This window comes from Homo sapiens, chromosome 20 (assembly GCF_000001405.40).
Source record: "Homo sapiens chromosome 20, GRCh38.p14 Primary Assembly".
In the NCBI taxonomy this organism is placed as follows: domain Eukaryota; kingdom Metazoa; phylum Chordata; class Mammalia; order Primates; family Hominidae; genus Homo; species Homo sapiens.
Window position 1 is genome coordinate 21,084,037 of NC_000020.11, and position 22,604 is coordinate 21,106,640.

The 22,604-nt window shown below is 45.5% G+C and overlaps 1 long non-coding RNA gene across 4 annotated transcripts, besides 4 other annotated features; it reads right to left on the reverse strand.

The window, feature by feature from the left end:
* Positions 1-1,539: 1,539 nt before the first annotated feature.
* On the reverse strand, positions 1,540-22,322 carry LINC00237 (long intergenic non-protein coding RNA 237). 4 transcript variants are annotated; one of them, NR_190205.1, is made up of 4 exons: positions 22,235-22,322; positions 9,161-9,816; positions 3,908-3,994; positions 1,540-1,852 (listed from the first exon to the last, which is right to left on the reverse strand). It is a non-coding gene; the product is annotated as a long intergenic non-protein coding RNA 237 (long non-coding RNA). The 4 variants fall into 4 exon arrangements; NR_147212.1 differs by lacking the exon at positions 1,540-1,852 and having other exon boundaries at positions 3,568-3,994; positions 9,702-9,816; NR_190203.1 differs by lacking the exons at positions 1,540-1,852; positions 3,908-3,994 and having other exon boundaries at positions 8,773-9,816.
* Positions 5,893-6,444: an enhancer, noted in NCBI's record as "OCT4-NANOG-H3K4me1 hESC enhancer chr20:21070570-21071121 (GRCh37/hg19 assembly coordinates)". NCBI's record gives its function as "activates a minimal SCP1, AML or CMV promoter by ChIP-STARR-seq in primed H9 embryonic stem cells {active_cell/tissue: H9 hESC(primed)}" and the evidence as "EXISTENCE:reporter gene assay evidence [ECO:0000049][PMID:30033119]".
* Positions 12,252-12,546: an enhancer, noted in NCBI's record as "tiled region #9877; HepG2 Activating DNase matched - State 1:Tss, and K562 Activating DNase unmatched - State 3:PromF". NCBI's record gives its function as "activates a minimal TATA promoter and a strong SV40 promoter by Sharpr-MPRA in HepG2 and K562 cells {active_cell/tissue: HepG2 | K562}" and the evidence as "EXISTENCE:reporter gene assay evidence [ECO:0000049][PMID:27701403]".
* Positions 16,746-17,615: an enhancer, noted in NCBI's record as "OCT4-NANOG-H3K27ac-H3K4me1 hESC enhancer chr20:21081423-21082292 (GRCh37/hg19 assembly coordinates)". NCBI's record gives its function as "activates a minimal SCP1, AML or CMV promoter by ChIP-STARR-seq in naive H9 embryonic stem cells {active_cell/tissue: H9 hESC(naive)}" and the evidence as "EXISTENCE:reporter gene assay evidence [ECO:0000049][PMID:30033119]".
* Positions 19,146-19,195: an enhancer, noted in NCBI's record as "active region_17616". NCBI's record gives its function as "activates an Ori minimal core promoter by ATAC-STARR-seq in GM12878 lymphoblastoid cells {active_cell/tissue: GM12878}" and the evidence as "EXISTENCE:reporter gene assay evidence [ECO:0000049][PMID:35858748]".
* Positions 22,323-22,604: the final 282 nt, after the last annotated feature.

Genomic DNA, 22,604 nt, shown 5'->3' on the forward strand with positions numbered 1-22,604 from the left:
GGAGGAAGCATGCAATTATGTGGGAGGAAAGAATACCAGCAGAGGGAACCAGTAATGCAGGGGTGGTAAAACGGGCTCAGACCTGGCATGTTTGAGGGACAGCAAGGAGACCAGTGTAGCTGGAGGGAGGGAGTGACAGGAAGTACAGAAGGAGAGAAGGTCAAGAGGGAAGGGTGGTGGGGCAGAGAGGAGGGGCAGACTACACGTGGCCTTGAAGGCCATTGTGTAAAGATCTTGACTTTTACTCTGAAGAATATGGGCAGCTATTGAAAGATTTTGATCAGACTAATATGATCACTTCTATGTTGAGAGGACTATTCTCCCTGCCAGGAGACTCCGGCAATAATTCAAGTAAGAGATGATGTGGCTCAAGTCAGGGGGTGGCAGTGGAGGTGATGAGAAGATCCTAGATACATTTTAAAGGTGAAGGCAACCTGATTCCCTGATGTATTGACAAGGGTGTGATAAAAATACAGGACTCATGGATCACTCCAAGGTATAACCATTTATGTAGCATCTAGCTAGTGTAAGTGGATGGGTTTGGGAGAGCAGTGGGAGTGAGGGAAGGAGTCCAGAAGTTTAGGACATGTTAAGTTTGCGATGTCTAATAGACTCTGTAGCAGACTGCTGGTGCTCTGCTGCCAAACTAGAGATGCCTAGGAGTTTATGTTTTCCCAGAGCAGTGCCTGAAGAATGACTGATAAATGCAGGAATATAATAGCCCAGCTCCCATTTTTTTTGCACTGGGGCAAACTACCAACCTTGTGGTGTGAACAGCCCTGTGGATAAGGTTAAAGCCACGCTCCACGGAACTTTGCCTGAGATCACACTTTGCTTTGTTTCCTCACCTTCTCTGTCCTGTCCTGCTTCACACACCCCCATGCTAGTCTCCTAAGAGTAGCTCCTAATGGATCACATGTACACAAACCCTCGTCTAAGGTCAGCTGCTGAGGAACCAGATCCAAAATGATGTCCAAGCAGACATGTCAAGCTCATGACAGCTGTTTCAGCTAGAAAAATACACTTGGATGTCAACCAGATGTAGATGGAATTTAAAGCTACGAGACAGGTTAAGGTCACCAAGAGAGTGAGTTGGTGTTATTCTTTCATCATAGAGATTTCAAGATAGAGGAAAGAGTGAAAAACTTTCATCTTAAAAGTAATTCAGGGGAGAGTAAAGTTGGCTTATTCTTTTTTAAATATTATGAAACTGTAATTACAATTTCATCATACAAAAAGTCAGAAGTTAATACTTGAAGCTGGGCCATGGTTGTCCAGGGAATCATTATACCATTCTTATTATTTATGTTCATGATTGAAAATTCCACAATAAAAATTATATAAGTAAAATGTAAATACACTCACCTTTAAAAAATAAATAATTGCATAGTAAAAAACTAGAAACAATGCAAATGTCCATCAATAAATTTATCGACATGATGGAATACTATACAGCAATGATTATGACAAACCATAACTACATGAGATAATACAAGTGAATCTTATATTGTTGCACCAAAAAACTCAGACGCAAAAGAGTACATGTTGTATGATTTAATATATGCAAAGTTCAAAAACAGGAAAAATTAACCCACACTGCTAGATAGGAGTGTGGTTATCTTTGGGAGGCTATTGACTGAAGGGGACATTTGGGGGGCTTCTGTGATGCTGCTGATGTTTTTTTCTTCATCTGGTGCTGGTTACATGAGTGAGTTCACTTTGTAGGATTCATCAATTGTACACTTATTGTATGTGTACTTTGCAATATTTACTTTATCATTATGAAAACTCTGAAGAGTCTGTGATTTTAGCCTGCCACAATCTCATGGATACTGGTAGAAGACACAAGATCCTAGGTCAGAGACAAAGGACTTTATTATTCACAGGAATCATAAGCTTCTGTTTGTATCAGCTCCCTTTAACCCTCAAGACCCACAGGGGTGACGTGGAGATTAGCCCTGGTGGAAGCTGCACACGCAGTGCATTTGCATCAGACAATCTTAGCCTAGGAAACATCAGTCTCGTAAAGGGACTCTAAGCAAACGCTGCTTAAACTTTGTCTCAGAAGGAGACATTATTTTTATTATACTGCACAGCAAACAAATCTGCCCCTCCTCAGACAGAGACCCATCTCTAACTTCCAAGGCTATTCACTATATGAACATATTTGAAAAGATAGTCTAGAACAAAACCTGTTAGTGCCTTTGTTCACAAGACTTGCAGAAACATGAGAGATCTATAGAGAACTGCCTCTCAACAATATTGCAATCAAAATGTACATTTACAAAGTCATTTAGGTAAATCATTACAGACAAGGCCAAAAGGAACTTCGTTTGATATTCCACTTCTCCAAGTCCCAGAGGTGATCATGGCTTGTTTGGTGCATACCTTTCCAGACTATTAGCTATACAATCACAAGTATCTATATCTATATACGTATAGATATGTATCTATATATATAGAGAGAGATACATATCTATATAGATACATATCTATATATGGATACCTATATATGTACTATATATATAGTACATATATAGTGTATATATAGTATACACTAGTATATATATGTATATATAGTATACTATATATAGTATACTATATATAGTATACTATATATGTATAGTATACTATATATAGTATACTACATATACATATGTAGTATACTATATATACATATATACTATATATAGTATACTATACTATACATGTACTATATATATACATATACTATACTATACATGTACTATATATACATATACTATATATATGTATAGTATACATATATAGTGTATACTATATATGTATAGTATACACTATATATGTATATAGTATACACTATATAGTATATATGTACTATATATAGTACATATATAGTATATATACACTATATATGTACTATATATAGTATATATGTACTATAGTATATATATACACTCTATATGTACTATAGTACATATATAGTACATATATAGTATATATGTACTCTATATAGTATATAGAGTACATATATAGTATACATATATATACACACCCACACCCACACACTATATATGTAGAGAGAGAGACAGAAACAGAGATAGAGACAGAGAGACAGACATAGAGATAGAGACAGAAAGAAGTTATTTGGGGGCAGTATGGATTATGAATTAAAAATTTGACATCATTCTCTTCATGTCATTTTGCAACTTGTTTTCGCTTAACAGGATCTTGGCATTTTTCTTTTCCTTCTTTCCTTGCCACTATATGCCAACAGATCTCCCTTCTTCTAATCTGCTGCCTAGAGAGCCATGGCATGGATGTGCCATGGTTTAATTAAACATTCCCCTTTTGAATGGGTTCAGTTTTTTCTTTCTCTTATTGCAAACAGTGCTTCAGAGACCATTGTCAGACAGGTCTCTATAAATTTGTGCAAATATCTACTTAGAGTGGCTTGAGGAAGGACAAAGAAGAAGGACTGCTGTCAAATTTACCCTCCAAAAACATCATCCCAGTTACATCTCAATGGTAGCTTATGAAAGTGCCATTTCCCCATGACCTTGCCAAAATGAAACATTGTTGTTCACTTTAATTTTTGTCATTTGGAAAGGAAAGAAAAATTACATCTTGTTGGCATTTTAGTTTGCATTCCCCCAGTCTCTAGTAAAGCTGAACATATTTTCATGCCTTAATTCTTAAATTACCATTTCTTAACATTTATGTGCCCAGAACTATAATGGGCACTTTACGTGAACTATTTCATTTTATCTTCACAATTCATTCCTGATATAATAGTGAGGAACGAGCAAATATTTTTTCCCAGGTGACAGATGAGTAAACTGAGGCTTAGAAGCTAGGGAACTAGCGTGGATTCACACATCAAGTGTTTATGGCAGCAAACTCCTCCTGCCAATTAATTACACAGTACCTGTTCTCTTCTTCTTTAGTAAAATAATCCAAACTTTAAGGGGAGCAGCAACGTGTCCAGCTTCAAATTCATACCTCCCAGCCTTCCCTGTAGGTAGAAATGGTCATGTGATTACATTGTTACCAATGCATTACAGCTGCAAGTTGAGGGTGGAGCTGTTTCCCAAAAGGCTCCTTGAAAGTAGGAGTAGTTCTTTTGCCTTTCCCTTCCTCCTCCTTCCTCCTTCAGATGAGATGACTGAAACTGCCGCAGTCACTATAGGACCGTGAATAAAGGTGGCGTAGAAAGATAAAAAGAACCCGGGACATTGATAGCATCATGGGGCCTGTTCTCCTCCACCCTAGTCTACCTACGTCTAGAATTCTGGTTACGTGAGCAAACCCACTCTGCATTTCTGTTATTACTGATACAGTGATGGAGCCAGGATTTGAACCAAAGCTATGCTGAGTCATTCCTTCTCATCCAGGTAACACTCTCCACACAAACGCTATACTATTACTACAGAAGTCACCATCTGTGGCCAATAAAGACTGGAGAAATCTTGCTCCAGCTATTCTTTCTCAGGACAATTGGAGTTGCAAGTCTTGGAAGTAGGAATAATTTCAACCTCATAACAGCAATAGAAAAGGTAGTGCTTGTGAAAGATAAAAGTAGAAATAGCCTAACACAGCATAACTTTCTTTATTGATAGTATCTACACAGGGAAATGTGGATTTATAGAAAAGAACAACATGTCAAATGATTACAAACAGAAAGTTCTGATTCTGGCCTCACTGTTGTATTTGCTATTGACCTTAGAAAAATAACAGTTTCTATCTGTTTCCCTTTTCTTACAATGTTAATAAAATAGATCTTTGAGCCATGGGCTTGTGATGAGAGTCCAATGATGAAATATACATAAAAGCTTTTCCAAAAAAAAAATCAACATGTTCGGTGCTCTGAACCTGGAAGGAATCACTATACGAATACTGCATTCCTAGTGTATGTGTAACCCATGCACAGAGAACCCTGTGGTTATTATTATCAGATTGTAGCGACCCCAATTTTCTTCCTCTTTTTTAGCCATTAAGTAATAGGAGACCCCATGAGACACAGGAATAATGTCAGAATGGAGCAACATTGTCACAGTGAGGAGTAGGTGTGCCCGTGTATGTGTGTGCATGTGTGTAAGATTTAACCTTTTTCTCATTGAGTTTCATATATTTCATGCAAAGGATTGCTGAATATTCATTGATGTATCTAGTATCCACAAGTATGCTATTAGAAATGTATTATTTATCTATATTTTTGAAAGGTTGAAATAATTCAGTGTTGATCCTTTGCAAGATAGGTTTGCTACCTTTAAACTGAAGTGACAATAACACCCTTCGGTTTCTCTCAAGTTGTGCTGATATCCTTGATGTCTCTAACAAACCAGAGACTGCCTGTGAGAATCCTGTATGTCACCATTAAATTGAAAAAGGCTTGAAATATCAAAACCTCACTTCTGGTAGGGAAGGGAAACGAGAAAAAAGCAAACCGATGGTTATTCATGAATCACCCCGGGCCTGCCATGATAAATAACAGTGGCCTCTTTCTTCTCTTCGCTGGGCTCGTAATTCTCTCCCTGAAGGTGTTTTACCTGCACAGGAAGAATTGGGCTGGAGGGATGTCTAGTAAAAATGATTTTTAAAGCCTCTTAAAACGCAAAAGCCTATGTTTGGGTTATGAGTCATTCTTTTTGCATACAGCAAACAATGTCCAATTAATCTCAGCCGACTGGGGAGATGGGACTAAAACAATTTGCAATGTTTAGTCTGTGGTTTTGTGACAACCTAGTGATGTTAAGAGAAAATTAAATACTCGATAAAATAGCTTATTTGAAAAGATTACAAGCGAAGGCGTCTAGATTTGGGCTTCTCCTGCAACATTAAACATGAGGATTCACTGTCCAAATATGGGTTCCGCATATAAGGTAGGAAATATTTATGCCATTTCCACATTAAAAGGGTAGCATATTATTTGTAATGAAATACAGCAATACAAAAATAATCAGTCAAAGTGCAGCTTCAGTGTGTTTTTATGTAGACGTCTGAATGTCTTTCCATTGTTTCAGCAGAGAGCTGCTGTTTTCTCCTGCGCTGACAGGCAATGCTATGTGATATGTTGGCAAACAATTTTACTGTTTTCCTCTCTCTTCTTATGAACGATATTTATAGACTCCGAATTGCATTTGGTTCCGCTTTCCGACACAGTTATCTTCTTGGGCGTGGATTAAATGAAGATCTGGGTGTTGAAAGACATTTACATAAGTGCTGTTTGTGAACAGGAAGGCCAGTTCTTCTATTATCGCCAGAACATTTAAATCTTAATGACTGGCATTGTTGTCTAAAAGACGGTGTTTTTCCTGCTGAGAAACTGCATTAGATTCAAGAAACGAAGCTCATTTCCATTCTCTCAGCAGTCTTCTCTAGAAATGACATGCAGTGCTTGAAACTGTTTATTTCCAAATTCAGGCCTCCCTCGCATCAGTCATCAGCTTCAATTACCAGTTTTCCGGAGCCGAGCCATCAGGCAGTCTGACACCGGGGTCCGGCCTAATTCCCACCTTCTCCAGAGTCAAGAGCATAATGTGCGGATGAAAAGGTGCAAAATAGCTTGGACTTCATTAGCATGCAGGGCCTGGCTGTTCATTTGCCGGCTGCGGATGGAAGTTCTGACACTCGGAGCTTGCTGCAAAATGAGAAAAGTCCTCTTCAGGGGAGATGAGGTCCTTGGTGGTGAGGAAAGGTCATCAAAAAGACAGCCGCTGCCCTTGCTCCCTGCTCTCCATGACTGCTTATTGATTCCAGGAACACCTCATTACACGCCGGATCAACATATTATTGCCATGTTCTGGGACTGAATTGTTTACAAGTGTCTTTATCGCCAGCAAAGGCCTGCCCGGAGATGCATGACTACACTCATTTGGCTGTGACCCGCCAATTATGTGTTATCCGATATGTTGCTGGGTATCTTGATCTTTGCCCGGGTCTTCTCCTGGCATCAACACAGTCCCATTTACTACTTCTTTCTAACCACTCTTTGGGAAAGTAGCCATTAGCCTGTCAGTGTGTAAATGTGCGTGTGTGTGTGTGCGTGTGTGTGTGTGTGTGTGTGTGTTACCTCTGCTACAGGAAATCTGAGCATCGATGCTCCATTGCTTGCTATTCATGAGGTGCATAATCATTTGGGGGAAAGAAATTCTCACTCACACTCACACACACACACCTTTTTTTATGGCATCCAGGGTAACCCACACAATTTGCAATCAGTATGCACAACAGAGAGCATAATGCAGCTTGTTAGCAGCTCCCTCTGCTTACATATAGGCCCGACGAGAGAGCCGTCATATTTTATTTGGGCATAGCTACTGCAAACCACTGCACAGGACCATTTTAATCTTTCATTACAGACACTTCTATGGCTCCATAAAAGAAAGAGTGGACTAGCAACTTGATTAAAAACTTAGTAAAGAGATTGTGCAAACCCTCCCATCCCTGAAAAGTGGAGCCACAGCCTTAGTTTCTTACTGACGCCACTCTGCAATGCAAATGTGACTTCCATTTCCCTCCAATGGTGACTACTGACATAAATTTAATGATGCTGAGAATTGACAACTTCTATTAATTTTTGTGAATATTGCTTGGAGAAGGTTTAACGACTCCACCAAACATTAGGACCGTCTCAACCAAATACTAAAAAGGGGTCCATTTCATTTACATTTCCTGTTGCCATCAAGAATGGCTCTTTAATGAGTTTTCCGCAGCAGGATGTAGAGACACAGATGCCAAGAAACTTGCCTTTATTTTCTTGGAAGCATATATCCTTGGCAATGGGCACATATTAATATGATGAGTGAACTGAAACTCAAGAATCTAACTGCCTTCAGAAAAGTGACATCTGTATGCACATTCATTTCCAGCAATTTCCCAGATTTCTTTGGTATTTGTCTTTCTTTAATTTTTTCCAGGTATTTTTTTTCTCTTTCCAATTTTGAGAGAGGAGTTTTGTAAAGATACTGAGTTCTTTTGGTTCTTTCCAAAATCCCTTAGTTTTGGCTTTCTGACAAATCACTATTAATAACTGGAAAAGGCTGATTAAGACCCCCTCGTCAGGGTGCTTCAACTCAATTAAAGAGTCCATCAGGAGATGTTTACTCCACCCAGTGTTCAAGGACTCTGCTAATTCTGTACTATTCTGTACTATTATCAACCAATAAATACCCTTTGGAAGAGAAAGAGGTGATTGGAAGGATTACTCTTGGTTTATTTCGGGGGGTACTATTGCACGAGAAGCTTGATCAAGGGATAAAGATGGAACAAAAAGGAGTGTTTACCAACATTCGTATCTGACGATCAAGTCTCAGTGTGGTTGGAACTCAGAGAAGGACAAAAAGGGTAACTTTCAATAACTAGGAGTCATCCAAAAGGAAAGGGGCTTCTTTACAAATTTACAAGAAATTGTAATGATGCAGCAGTGGGAATGCCCAGGCGGTAGGCACTTTGAGGTTGAATGCCCTAGGTAGAAGGGAGAGCCACATCCAGGAGCTTCTGCCAATTGTTATAACCAGATCATCTGTTATTTCAATGATTAAAGATAATTCCTCTCTGTTATGGCTTAAATGGCTCATCTTCTTTATGAATCCCTCAAATTGGCACCAAAAGATTCTTTTCAATTAACAGAATGGCCAGTCTTCCTAGATCCTCTGGATTTCTTCCCGATCTTTAGGAGTTGCAGGCTTCTATGTATATTTTCTGATGCTGAATAGAAAATGCATACACACAGTCTACAAGAACAGTGGTGTGATTAGATGATCAGATGGCAACTAACCCCCAAAAAAGAGCTTGTTTTAAAAATCATTTATTAAATACAACTTTGTGCCAGGAAACTTTCTAGAAAGTTAGCATACATTAACTTATGTATTACTCACAACAACCGGGTGACTTAAGCATTGCTAAAGTTGCTAAGTCACCCACCTTTACAGATGGGGAAGCCTTCTTGCACATCTAATAGGGTTTTCCAGTGTGCTCAAGGTCATGTGGCAGAGGCAGAATTAAAACCCGGATGTGACCCATGGCAGAACCCACACTCTATTCTGCCTCCCCTAGAGCCAGCATCCACTACACATTTCCAAGAATCCTGTAAAGCACCCTTTTCTGCATACCAGCCAATGTGAATGCAGAAAGAGTCGCTAGTTGTGATAATAAATATGTCAAAACAATTATCTTTTACCTCTCTGATATCCTTTGCCATGAGGTGGGCTATAGAAGCCTTTGATTGATAGACTAAAATAAGTTTTGATACAAAAAGGCAGTTCTGGCCATTTAATTAAAAAGTGGTGGGGGTTGCAGGGAGAACATATTCGGGGAGCTGTAGAAGTGCCCCCACTGGTCAGTAGGAGCATCTGAGGAAGTCTTGTCAATCTTTGGCTCTTATACTCATCCAACTTGCCTGCAGATCTTCCTTTAGTGGTTCTACTAAAAACACAACAATACTTAATTCACCTCCTGCGGCCATCGTAGCCAGTTCTCCCACAGCATTACTCTGCCACTGGAAACCTAATGACAAACGGTCCAATCACAACACAGGAGACTGGATTCAAAGGCTTGAGGGATATCCATGTACTGACTGGAAACCTGCACAAACATGTTCACAGGTGCTGGAATCTTCCCCTGTCTCATGTGCTCATTTTTCCCTGCTGTCCATGAGAATGTTAGATACTTTCTGGTGCCTAGGATAATGCATCATTCAGAATGTCTCCCGGACTACTGGCCTGGCTTAAATGAAGGGAGATGACTTGTCCACAGGGACACTTCCTCCTCGTTTCTCCTTCCTTCAGCATCAGCAGCCTCTAATCTTCCAGCACATTCATGCTGCCCCAGTCTCTTCTGTAAGAGAAAGAGAAACACTTGCTCTTATCAGTTCATTTGCACTAAGACACCAGAGATTCAAATGTATACCCTATCCTTCCCTTTCCATCTCCAACAGGCAGTACTTGTATCATAAAAGAGGGCAATGCTTGACCCAAAGGAATGGTGTGTCATGATGGGGATGGAGGAGAGGTGTGGTATTTGGGAAGGGGAAGCCTTCCAGGTGATACATTCCAGTGAGAACAAATTTGGCCATTCCTGAAGTAGATGTTTACATCACCTAAGCCTCACTTATGCTGGGAGGATTTCAGAATTATTTAATTTTCAGAATCAGCAGTTGAAGACTGTAGAGAAATCTACTAGAAATGAGTTCTACTGATCTAATCTTAACCCAAGGGCAGATATATGCTGGTCACTCTCTCCACCCAGCCCTTCTGGGTCTTTCTTTCAGCTTTGCACAGACACTCGTGTTGAGACTCCACTATGTACTCAAACTGTACAGAGTGTTCTTGGAGCTCTAACTTGCATTTTCTGCCCTTGAAGAGCCAACAATAAGAGGCAACAAAAAGTGTCACAAGACAGTAAATGATTAAAGACAAAATAACAAGTGTGTATAATAAGAAGTGCCCTAGGAGTTGAGGGGTGAGCATGGAAGACCCCCGTGGACTAGCATGATGGGAAAGACTTTCTACATGAAATAGGATAAGAGTGTGTCTTGGAGATTTGAATAAGTGGAAAGAGGGGTGGGTAAGCATGATAGTATCCGAATATAACCACCCTCAGTTTTTCCCATTCCATGTAGCTCTTCCCATCAATAGGAAGAGTGGCGGCTCACACCGTAGTCCTAATTGGAGGCTGAAGTGAGCTATGATCTCACTACTGCATGCCAGCCTGGGCCACATGGCCAGATCCTGTCTGTTAAAAAAATAAATAGTCTGGGCACAATGGCTTACACCTGTATTCCCAGCACTTTGGGAGGCCAAGGTGGGCCGATCACTTGACGTCAGGAGTTTGAGACCAGCCTGGCCAATGTGGCAAAACCCCATCTGTACTAAAAATACAAAAAATTAGCTGGGCATGGTGGTGCGTGCCTGTAATTCCAGTTACTCAGGAGGCTGAGGCAGGAGCATCGCTTGAACCCAGGAGGTGAGGTTGCAGTGAGCAGAGATCACGCCACTGCACTCCAGCCTGGGTGATGGAGTGAGACTCTGTCTCAAAAATAAATAAATAAGTAAATAAAAAGAGGAGGAGCCTTTTTCCCTTCCCCTTGAATCTGGCTGCACATTGTGGCTTGCTTTGACCAGTAGAATGAGATGGGAGTAACAGTCTGGGACTTCTGGTTGCATAGGCCTTAAAAGGACTAGCAGCTTCCACTGCCTCCCGCTTGGAGCCCAGCTGCCATGCAGAAGAGAAACCCATGCTAGGGTACAGAATGATTAGAGGTCATGTGGAGACAGGCCCTGGGAGGTGAGAGAGTGTCTTGGACTTTCCACATAAATAAGCCCAGCTGACCTTTCTTAGAAAAGTGCCCAACAAGCCCTGCTAGAAATTCTGACCAATGGAATTGTGAAAAAAAATAAACTGTTGTTGTTGTAAGTCACTAAGTTTTGGGGTGATTCATTAAGCAGCAACAGATAAGTGAAACAGTAGGATAAAGAGGAGTACACACGTGATGAGCTGCTTTCCACATGAGAAGGTGGCATAAATAAAATGAGAATGAGCACATATGGTATTAGGGAGCCCTAAATTGGATAAACCAACCTGGCTAGAGCAAGCATTTCAGGTTAGCAACTAGAAGAATATAGATCAATAAATCTGGCCCAAATAGCTTTATTGTGGGAAGGAGATCTTTAAGGCAGTCCATGTGATGCCCTCCATAGGAGATGCTGTCAGTGTTGATAGCTCCTTACCTGTCTACATCAGCGTGTACCAGCTCAATGACCAACCACCAGCACCTGTGTTTCATTGCCTGGGAACTTTTTCTTGGCCCCTGAAGCTCACTCTGCTTATGCAACAGGCCAGAAGTGCTGAGGAAATAATGCCAGCAGAGTAGCCCTCAGCCAGTGACTGATGGAATTGGTCTATACATATTCCAGCTCAAGTATGTGCTACATCGTTTCCCAGAGCTCACAGTAGAATTAAATTCCAGGTGCCCACAATGGTAACCTGCTTTATAATACACCTTGATGGTTGCCTTCCCTTCTCTGTCTCTCAACTTCATTCCCTTACTGGTGTTTCCAGAGATCACCTTTCGGTAATACATTGCTTGCTTTTGGAGAAACCCAAACTAAGATGCTTTCATTTTGCAGTTAAGAAAAATAAAGCCAGGACGGGGATTACTTTGAACGGGTGCTATAACAAAATGAACCAAAATTTGCAGTTCTTCAAACAAAACAGAAATTTATTATCGCCATATAAGCAGTCCAGGATGGGAGGGCAGATTCTGCTCCTGGAAGTCATCTCAGGACCCAGCCATTGGGGAACCGTTGCCTTCCTCAGTACATGACTCTCATTAGTGTAATTCCCAGCCAGCAAGAAGGAACAGGGAGGTGCAAGTATGAGATGACAATTACGCACATCACTTCTACTTGCATGCCACTGGCGAATGTTTAGTCACATGGTCCTCGTGTCGCTGCAAGGGAGGCTGGGAAATGTAGTTCAGCTGGTCAGCCGTGTGCCCAGTGAGAATAGAATAAATGATGACGAGTGGCAGACAGGAGTCTCCGACCCTGGAAGATTAGTTTGTTGCCAAAGTGCCTATAGCTAGTTAGTGGACAAGTGGAACTATAAGCCTTTCTGCACACTATTTTTTTCCTTACTCCCCTCACTTGGATTCCAGCCAGACTGCAACAGGGCTCAAATGTCATGCTGAAGAGTCTGGTATTCTGCAAGGTTCATCTCCCCTCATCACAGAAGCAGCAAAGCAGAATAAGCCGTTGGAGGCCCTCTCAGGCTCAGCCTACATGAGGTTGCTAGATTGGACTTTGTGGCCAAAGCAAATAGCATAAGGCCCTATGCTTTCAAACAGAGCCAGCCAGCCTCACTGCTAGCCCATGTAGCCCCGTGGTACAGATTTTTAGATGCACCTGTTACTTTACTGACAAACACCAAAACAATGTCTTAGAAACCATACAAACCACACAAATCAACAATGATGGGAAGGGCACCCCTATGTGACACTCAACCTGTCGGATTGGAATCCTAGCCAGGAGAGGGAGAGGAAAGAACCACGGGGCTAGCTGAAATCTATGGATATCAGAGATATTTTGCAGTCATCTCTGAAGAACCTGAACTTGCTTCTGTAGCTTCCAATTATCCACAGGCCGACAAAGCTGTTTCTTTTGGAACTCTGTATCACAGATGGAAATGCTAGAAGGTTAAGCCCACCCAGCACAGCTCATTTATACATTAAAATAGAAGAAAATGAAAGGTGACAGGTTTATCTAAGCGGATCCTATTCATAACTTTTACATGCTAACCTGAATTTTTCAAATTCACTTTTTGACTGGATTTGGGGTTAAGTTGGCCAATGTACAAATGGTCATTAAAAAAAGGGGGCAATGAAAGCAAATGAATTGTTTATTGGAAAAATTTGTTAAATGGCTCTGCACTGTTCTTTTATGTCAATTTAAAAAAAAAATCCTTTATGCTCCATAGAGATTGTACTAAATTTTAAAATCGTTATTCTGCCTTAACCATTCTTTAACTTTTCCCAAGATATAAGGTGTATATTTTTTTACATGTAGGTTGAAAATTACCAAGGTTTATTTCATTTAAGTTATTGGACACAACTCATTATTATATTTCTAATATTTTTGTGCAAGTGAACAAGAGTAGCAGTTACCTCTGATTTGAACCCTATACAGTAAAGTGGTACTTTGGATTTTTCCCCCCAACAATTTCCTGTTATGCTCAACAAACCTCTCTCCAAATGCAAACCTCAGTCTCAGTTAGTAGACTGTGTTGAAAATATGTGTCTAATCACCAAAAAAGCCAAGCATTTATCAGGATAAGCCTTCCAAACTCATCAACTTTAATGGTATCCAGACGGCTTTTCTGGAGAGGGCTCATTAGTTTAAAAAAAAATTCTCAACATTTCCATGTTCTGTAGCTTTACTGACATAGTCAAAAATATAATACAAGCTCCCTGCCTTCTTGTTTAGTAGCCATTTCCTGCCCATATACTGCCTTGAAAAATAGTCAAACAAATGTAAAGAAGATAAATATCAAGCATAAATGAACTAGCGCCAAAGGGGATAGGTTCTGTATATAAAAATGAGCAACACCAGTGGCTGCAGATTAAGAAACTGAATATGTTGGTGTTTAAAATTAGCATGGTTCCCCAAAGGATTGAAAATGTTCCATTTAAGAAAAGAAATGTTTTCAAATCACTCTGCTGACTAGAGGAGTCTGAATCAAAGTCAGAAATTAATAATAGGATGCAGACAGAGACCCCCAATCATAAATAGCAGAGATCATTTTTATATGTATAAAAGCCTGCATGGCCCAGCAGTGTCTATAGCTCTATGGGGAAAAAAACTAATGAAATGCAAGAAGAAAATGTTGAAAATAGAAATGAATGTGCCCGGTAGAAATGCTATTGTCATACTCTTGTGACACAATGACTTCTTTTCTGGAAAAGTAATTCTTCAATTGAGCCCAGGCAAGCATTGTATTCATTGTAAAGTTGTATATTTAAACCTGTAGTCTGAAGGGCTTGCCTGTATTTAAAGCTCAATGCTACCTGGGCTCATTAGAGTACCAGGACAAAGCTCTAGCATGTTACTGCTTTGACACTCCTCAGAACTTCTAGGTAGTTTTCAGTGGCTTCAAGTACTTAGATTGTCAGCAGTATAGGAAATAGAAAGTAGAATATTGAATGGGTGAGGTGTATACATCAAACATGTGGGAATGTATAGACAGAGAGATAAAGATCCTCCTCGAACATCCTATTATATTGCAGAGGGTGCAGAACAATTCCAGGGTAAACACAGGCTTGGAGTAAACAGAGCTGCAATGTGCAGGTTGCACGAATTAGAGCATCCCGAGTCTCATTCAAGATCAAATGGTTCCTTTCTAGGCTTTTTATCAGGAACAGGTTCTGCTCTGGGTAACAGAAAGATAAAAGAACATAATCGCAGCCATGAAATCTTTAGTGTAGAGACAAGAAGAGCAAGGGGTAAGTGTTTAAATTCAGGCCTGTTTTAACAACACAGCAGCCTCATTCTACAAGTGCCTCCTTTCCAGTTTGGGCCAACTCAGTGCTTTGGCTAAATCTGTGAAAGGATGTGTGCCCTCTCCATGGTTTTGGATAAACCTGTGCTTTCTGGGAAGTTGCTTTCAGGATGCGAGTGCACTGGCTGAAGGTGAAGATAGGAAGGACAGTGGTCAGGAGGAGGATAGCCCCGAGCCAGGCAGGACAATATCCAGCCAAAATAATTTACCCTGCTTTCTGGTAAACGCAATTTATTTTTATGTATTTATATTTGAAATAAACAACACCTGCGCACGTGGGGAGAAAAGTGAAAGATTCAAGAAACAGCACAGTGGAAAGTTGGTCTCCCTGTAGCCCACCTACCTTGGTTCCTTTCAAGTGGCAACTGTGAGCCTTCCTTGCAGATATTTCCATGCGCGAATTGTCACTCAATTTCAATCCATGATCTTTAAAAACACAGCTCCCTATCCCCATCCAGCCCCTCCCAGCACCCAGGTCTTCTCTTCCCCTTCAGGTCATTCTTCACCCAGCCCCACTCCCCAACATATTTCTTCATCTTGGGGTACCTGACAGACGACCTGCTGACACCCTGATGACCCAGGCGCCCTTCTTTTTTTATATATATAAGGGTTAGAGTTATTACTTAATGATAATTACTTATTTTACACGTTGTCGTCTGCTGATGTTTAAAAGATAAGAAGACATTTGTCAGGGCGGGTGCTTGAGGCTCTCAGAGGACTCCGGGAGACACTGCCAAAACGTTTCCAAACTGAATAGTCATTGGGCTGCCAGATAATTCAGAAACTATCTGTATGAGCTGTTTATCAAATTATTAACCGCACAGATGTTGTTTGGCTGAAGAGCAGCTGAATCCCCTCTCTGGCAGCCGCGGAGACAAAGGTCTCCAGGAATAATTGGAGATGTGCATGGAATATTAAATTAATTTACTGCTCTTAATTCTTATGCAAATTCTGACCTCCGATGGCGCCTATCAATTACCCCGCCCGCAGTGAAAGCGAAAGCGACAGTTTCTTCTCTTCGCTTTTTTTTCTTTTTTAAGAACTCGAAAAAGGAAATATTTGCAATAAGCAGGCGGTAGTAGCACTTCGTAGCTGGAATTATTTAATTGAATCTTCAAGTTTTTAGGGATGCCCGTAGAGGATAAAACCCCAGTGCTCAGCGGAGAGGGTGGGAGGGGTACAGGGGGCGGAGGAATCTGTTGGTTTGACTGTACACCTGCGGGCGGCGGCAAAATACAGCCACGAGCCGGGACCAGTAATGTCAAATAAAACATTGGCTTGTAGACGGACGCGGGCCTTGGGAATCGCGCGAGCCCAGCGTTAGCCCGGGGTTTCACCGAAGCCGGCGATTCGAAGGGAGTGGCGTTTCCGCAAACTGCATCGCTAGGGGCCCGGCGTGGAAGCGCCTCTGCGCAACTTTCCTCCACCGCTGCCTACAAGGGAGGCTCTGGCTTCCGTTTACTTATTTTTTAGGAGTTTTAACCTTTGGTTCCTGCTTTTACAACCGCTAACCCCAAAAACATTTTTTTTTTCTTTTTGTTCTTTGTAAAACCAAACCACTATGCTGTGCGTTCATGTTCAACTCTGTTGAAATCCCGGGTGGGCCGAAATAAGATTTAATTGTCTCCTGCGTGGAGAAGTGACACCCACTTTTTCCCCTGAATTGAGCAAACACCAGGGCTTTGTCTGAGCTTGTGGCTTAAACGCCGGGCGGTTTCTGCACCCAGTTGGTGGGTTGTAAGACAGGAGGTTTCCAAGTCTTTCATCATGTTTCTAACAAGGAAAACCAAATCGGGCCCATAATGTCATCAGCCCCGGCCCGACCTCGCCGGGACCTCGGCAGCCCGATGATGTCGCTAGCGGCCCCGGCGCAGCCACGACGCGCCGCCTTTCAGCTCCTCGCAGTCCCCACAAAAGCCAGACAACAATATCAATTAATCATGCAGCGGGCAAACAAGGAGATTTATCCCGCGACAAACAGCCCCACCGAGAGCCGCTGAATGGGCGTGATTAGCATGTGAAAAGGCGAGCAAAACTCCGCGGTTCAACAGCTAAAGAGCAATTTGATGGGGCTGGGATGGGGAAATTACTTGATTAGCGTCCATCGGAGGAGAACACGGTTACAGCCCCTCGGCCGGGAATCCGACAGGGGAACAAAACGCGCTGGTAAACGCGGCGACGTACAGGGAGCGCGAGCGAGGGAGGGAGCGCCGGCGAGGGAGGGAGCGCGGGGGCCGACATCGAGAGGCAATCGGGGTGGGGGCAGAAATAGGGGCTGACCCGCTAGCCCCCGCCAAACCGCGACCACCCTCACCTAGGGCTCCCGGGCGGACTCAAGACTTCACCCAGCGCTGGAGGTCGACCTTAATTTAGAGCGCTGCCCCGGCTCTGGCCCGGAAAGAGAGTGACAGAGGCGCGTGCGGGGGAAAGGCCCACCCACGCTGTCCCTGGAGTCCCCTCCAGTGTCCCCAGGGACGCAGTCCGCGGCCGCCAGCTCCAGGGGCTCGGGCCCCAGGTTGGAGTAGCCACGCTAGCGGCTAGGCCGTTCCACCGGGTAGCTCCGCCCTTCCTTTTGCTCAGGCAGCTAACTTTGGAGCCGGGCAAGACGTGTTTTCCCGCTCCTTCGAATTTAACCGCCCAGTGCCTGCCTCCTGGAAAAGCTGTCACGATTGGGCTTGGGCTTGGGCTTGGCCTTGGTCAAGAAAGGTTTCCTCGGCTGCGCCACCGTGGGGATGGAGGTGGGAGTTGGAACACAGCCCCCTAGCTGAGTGCAGGGGCCAGAGGCTGGCGGGGGCACGCGGGGGTGGTTGGGGGCGGAGTGCGGCGAGGGGTGAGGGCGCGACCGCCTTGGGGCAGGGGCGGCGATGGAGTAGCTCCGGGCTCTCCACGGACTCGATTGGACAGCCCCAGGCCGGCTTTGGATCCTTGGAGGCGGATACGCAAGGCCAGACCTGGTGGCGTGGCCAGTTGGGCATCGCGGTATCTTCCCCAGGCCTGGAGGGCAGTGCTGAAGGCCCGCGGCCGAGGTTTTGCTTTAAGTATACTTGGGCCTCGCAACTCAGCTGTTTGCGAACAGAGACCTGGCGAATCGCCGAGGAGCGGCGCGGCTCCGCGTCCCCACTTCAAGGCCAAGTGGAGAGTGAGGACACGCTGAGGCCCCCTGCTACCTATCATGCCATCTTAAGCGGGCACCGACTCCTTACCCAGAAAAGATCCTGGAGCTAAAGCCTGCGCCTACACCAGAGAGGGGAATTTAAGTTTCCCACTCTCGACGTGTCTGGAACCTTCCCTCTAGCCGCATACCCACAACCCCCTGCTCCCTGGCTCCTCCCAGTGTCAAGGAAGGAGAAAGACTCCCACCCTGTCCCCAAAGTCTCAGACTAACTCGCTCCAGGTCACAGGACCCACTAAGAGGGCCTTTCCAGCTCATGCCCGGAACAGGGGTGCAGCGGCGACCCTCTGGGATCTGGAGAGAGAGAATTTAACACGGCCTTCCTGAAGTACATTCACGCAAATGTGAGAAAGACTTCAACGCACAGAATCGCCAAAGCCCTTGCCGTCTTAAATAAATCCTGCCCCTTGGCACAGAAGAACGGAGAACCAAGGAGTTAATTCCTATTTTATAAGAAAAAAAAAAAAAAAAAGGAGGGGGAGAGAGGAAGGGAGTGGATGGCCCCCACTGAGCGGAACAATTGTCACTCAGTTGAACAGTGTCAATTAACAAACCGCAGCTCTGGCAGACTTCAAAAGGCTTGATTCTTTTTGAAATGTCTGTGGTGATGGGTGTGCAGCGAACCCCAGCTCGCCGGTGGCCGCTCACCCCGCTCGCCTCTCTCTCCCTCTGGACTCGGTGCTGAAGCCCCAGTGCAGCTCGCTCCTCCTTCTGTCAGCAGCTGGACCCGGAAGCCCTGACTCCCGGCTTGGCGCCTGTGCTGAGAGCGGAGAAGGACGTCGCGACCGGCAGGCCTGGAGGGCGCATTGGTGTGCAGAGTGTAGCGGCTGGTCTGGCCCTGGGAACCCCAGACCCGCGAAGCTGGAGGGCGCACTCCCCGGCCTCAGAGCCCCAAACCGGAGGCGCTGTCCAAACGCGCCAACGCTGCAAGCAATGTGGCAGGGCACACCGAAATGCGTGTCTCGCACACCTGCCCATCTTTCCCTGCTCAACACGAAAGCGCCTTGTGGCTCTAAGCGCTTCCTTGGGGTGGCTGGGGCTGTGCATTTTAATTCCAAAGTCAAGAGGTTGAACCATCTCAAAGTTGGCGGGTGGAGGGGGCGGTGGCAGGGAACTAGATGGCTGGATGCCTTTGCCTGCGGGGTGGCAGGGCTGTCCCTACCAATAGCCACGGCTCGGGGCTGGCTTTGTAGTTATTTTTCCAAGTTCTGCCCGGTGCCCATCATATTGCCCTGAAAAGCAAAAGAGGCCGATGCAATTTATTCCAATGGGCGGTTTTTAAGAAGCTGGCAATTTGAACCGGCTGGGTGTTATTTAGTGCAATATGAAATCAAATGATCCTATTTCTCAAATAACAGTGTCTGTGAGGAGAAGTGAATCCTCTGAAAGGGTAATTGTCTGCTGATGGTGTTTCCCATTATACCCGATCTTGGCCTAAATGGTGTTCGGCAGCGGGGCGGAGAGCGAGGGGTGAAATCAATGTGCGCCAACTCGCGCTCTGGAGACAGGAAAAGGTAGCACCGCTGGCGTCCTGGCACGTCGAGCGAACAATGCCACCCCACGCGTCACTGATCGACTCATCTTGCAGGTGTCCGAAATCATTAGACTTGAGTGATCTTGTGGACGGGGGTATAAGACTAACTGTTTTTCCTTTCGCAACTTTGGGAATTGTTAGTCTCCTGGCATCAGTCACGCAGCAGACTGACGATAATCTGGGAAATACAACCCAGTTTGGAGTCCCTTATCCCACCCCCTCCCCACCTCCATGTCATTACTGAGACGCTCAGTCCTTTCTTCCAAGGACTCACTTCTGTCTAGGACCTTCCCAGTCCAGCTTCTGGAAAACAAATGTAATTCCTGGGAAATATAATGCGTCCACCAGGCGCACACTATTAATGCTGTAATTAGGTGTGGTACCTTTGGGAGAAACAGGTTAGTCCTGGGCTTTTAAATTGTTCTCCTTGGGCCCAGCCACTATTTTTGGTGGCACCAGATATAAGGGGGTCAGTTTGTGTCTGAGAGCAGCACAGATGAGGAGCAAATTTAAGGAATGATTTTCATAACAAGGACAAAAGCGGCATGCGGGAACCAGAGCGTTGGCCTTTGGTCAGGTCAGTACCCCGAGGTGGAGCGTCAGCAGTAATATCAGAGGCTGCTTCTCCTTAAAATGACTCCGGCTGCAGAGGCGGCCGCAAGCAACAGCCTTGTCCATAAATCCTCTTTAGTTACCACTAACTCACCTTGAGGGGAGTGGCCTCCTCTCAGGGCCTTTGGGCCAGGACAGAGAGGTGCGGCCCCTGGAGAAAGATGCAACCAGGTCTGCAGCCGCTGGGGGCCCAGGACGCGGGGCAGCTTCGGAGCACTTCTCCTCTGCCCCCCACCCTCCAACCCCTGACTTACTGTTTTTTTTCCTAAGAAGGGTTTTGTGTGTTCCAAATATCCTGGAATTGCAGTCACAACCTACATCCTCTGCTAATTTGGGGCATTTCAGGCTGAGCCTCCTAGAACCAATTTGTGGCTTGTTTCTGCTCTAGCTAGGCAGGTTTTGTTTACATATTCTCTCTGGGTGTTTTGAGAGGACACACACAGACAGACACACAGACACACAGGCGCGTACACACACACTCATATATTTTTTCTATACTGTGACCTCTGTTTACAAGCCCATTTGGTTGTTCATGATTTTCCCCTTCCTTGGTGTTACCTCCAAATATCTGGAGAAGCTGGGAGAGAAATGGTCATGGCTGCATATCCAAGGAGCCCAACCTAGGAAGCTTCCATCTTTGTCTAGGAGGAAGGTTCGGCCACTGCACCTGGAGCCCGAAGCACCGGACACCAGGCGCGCCGTTCTGGCGCTCTGCAGGGCCTCTCTGGGTGAAGGAAAGCGGGCAGCCTGGGTTCAGCCCACCGGGTCCCCTTTCGAATGCCATTTCCCAGCTGAAAATCCAGCCAGCACAGCCTGGACGCCGAGCCCTCTGGAGCCCTGGTCAGGACGCTTTAATTTTCACCCTCCCGCTCTGGGTCTGAACAACCCCCCCGTCCCCCGCCCCCCACCCCAAGGTGTTGTTTCCTAGGGTCTTCTGGGGACATCCCTACCTGTCGAGGGCCTGCCCTCCTCGGGCTAAAAGTTCAGCCCTTCGACAGAGCCATGGAATAAGAGGCGACTCTCCCTGTGTCCCGCAAGTGGTTTCTCGAGGTACCCCTCTGAGGCTGCAGCCCCCGGAGCAGACCTGGCTCTGCATAGCAGCAAAAGCAACCGCCTACCTGGGCCGGGGCAGGACTGTGCCGCGGCGGCAGGGACAGTGTGAGCGCCGCCGGCCCCCTCACCCGGCGAGGGCCCTGCGCTCACACTTCTTCCAGGGGAAGGAGTGGCCACGCCTGAGCCCCCCTAAACGACCTCTTCAGGAGAAAAGAGTGCCGGCCAGGAGTCCCTCCAGTAACCTCAGTTTAGATCGGGTTTTCGCGCCTCCCCTAGGAATCCGGCTGGAAACCCCGGAGACTCTGCGCCTAGAGTTTTGCGGGCGTCTCTCTGCCTCCCCGCAGCTTCCGGCTCTCGCAGGCTTCATCCACTCCCTCTTCCCCCGGACCTGCCTGAACCCCGCCGAGCACTAGGCAAGGCCGGGCTCTGCGGGCTGGGGAAAAGAAGGGGCTTGGGGTGGCCCAACCCGACCGCCACCTCGGCCCGGCCTGCGGGGAAACCCCACAAAGTCAAGGCGCGGGGCGGGGTCGGGGGGATGGGATCCAGAGAGAGACTCAGAGGGGCGCCCCTTCCCCCCAGGGGTCTCCGAATCCTAGGGACTCTCTAAGCCCCCGTGGCAGAGAAAAGAGGAATTTTTAAAAACAAATCTTCCCTTGCCTGAGGCCATTTTCCAGCCTTCCACGCGCCTTTGCCGGGGAAAGAGTCGATGACTCGCCCTGCTCATCGGCTCAGACCAGAGCTACCCTGAGCCCACACCTCTCCTCCTCTCTGCAAGACATCCCTTCCGCCACCCCCAGTCCCGCCGTCCTCCCCTCTCCAGACCCACTGACCTTGGGAAGGCGCAGACCCACCGCTCGCCAAGCCTCGCCCCGCACTGTGCACGGGAAGAGGGGGCTCCGCGCGCAGCCCAGTCCGGTTAGCTGGTCGGCGTCGGCGGGGCTGCCGAGGTGGCGCAGAGCTCCCCTCCCCCACGCCTTATAATTTAATCACACGCGATATTAAATTATCAAGCTGCTCATTAATCATCACGCGAGTTATTGGGACTGAACACGCCGCCGCGTGTTTTGACAGCCCAGAACCATTCGCGGGGGTCGGGGTGTGTCTGGGTTTGGGGGCTGGGGGATGTCTAGCCACTCTAGAGAAACACTGCGAGCCCCACGCGGGCTGGTGGAGCCTCTTGCCTGGAAAAAGATGTGGAAA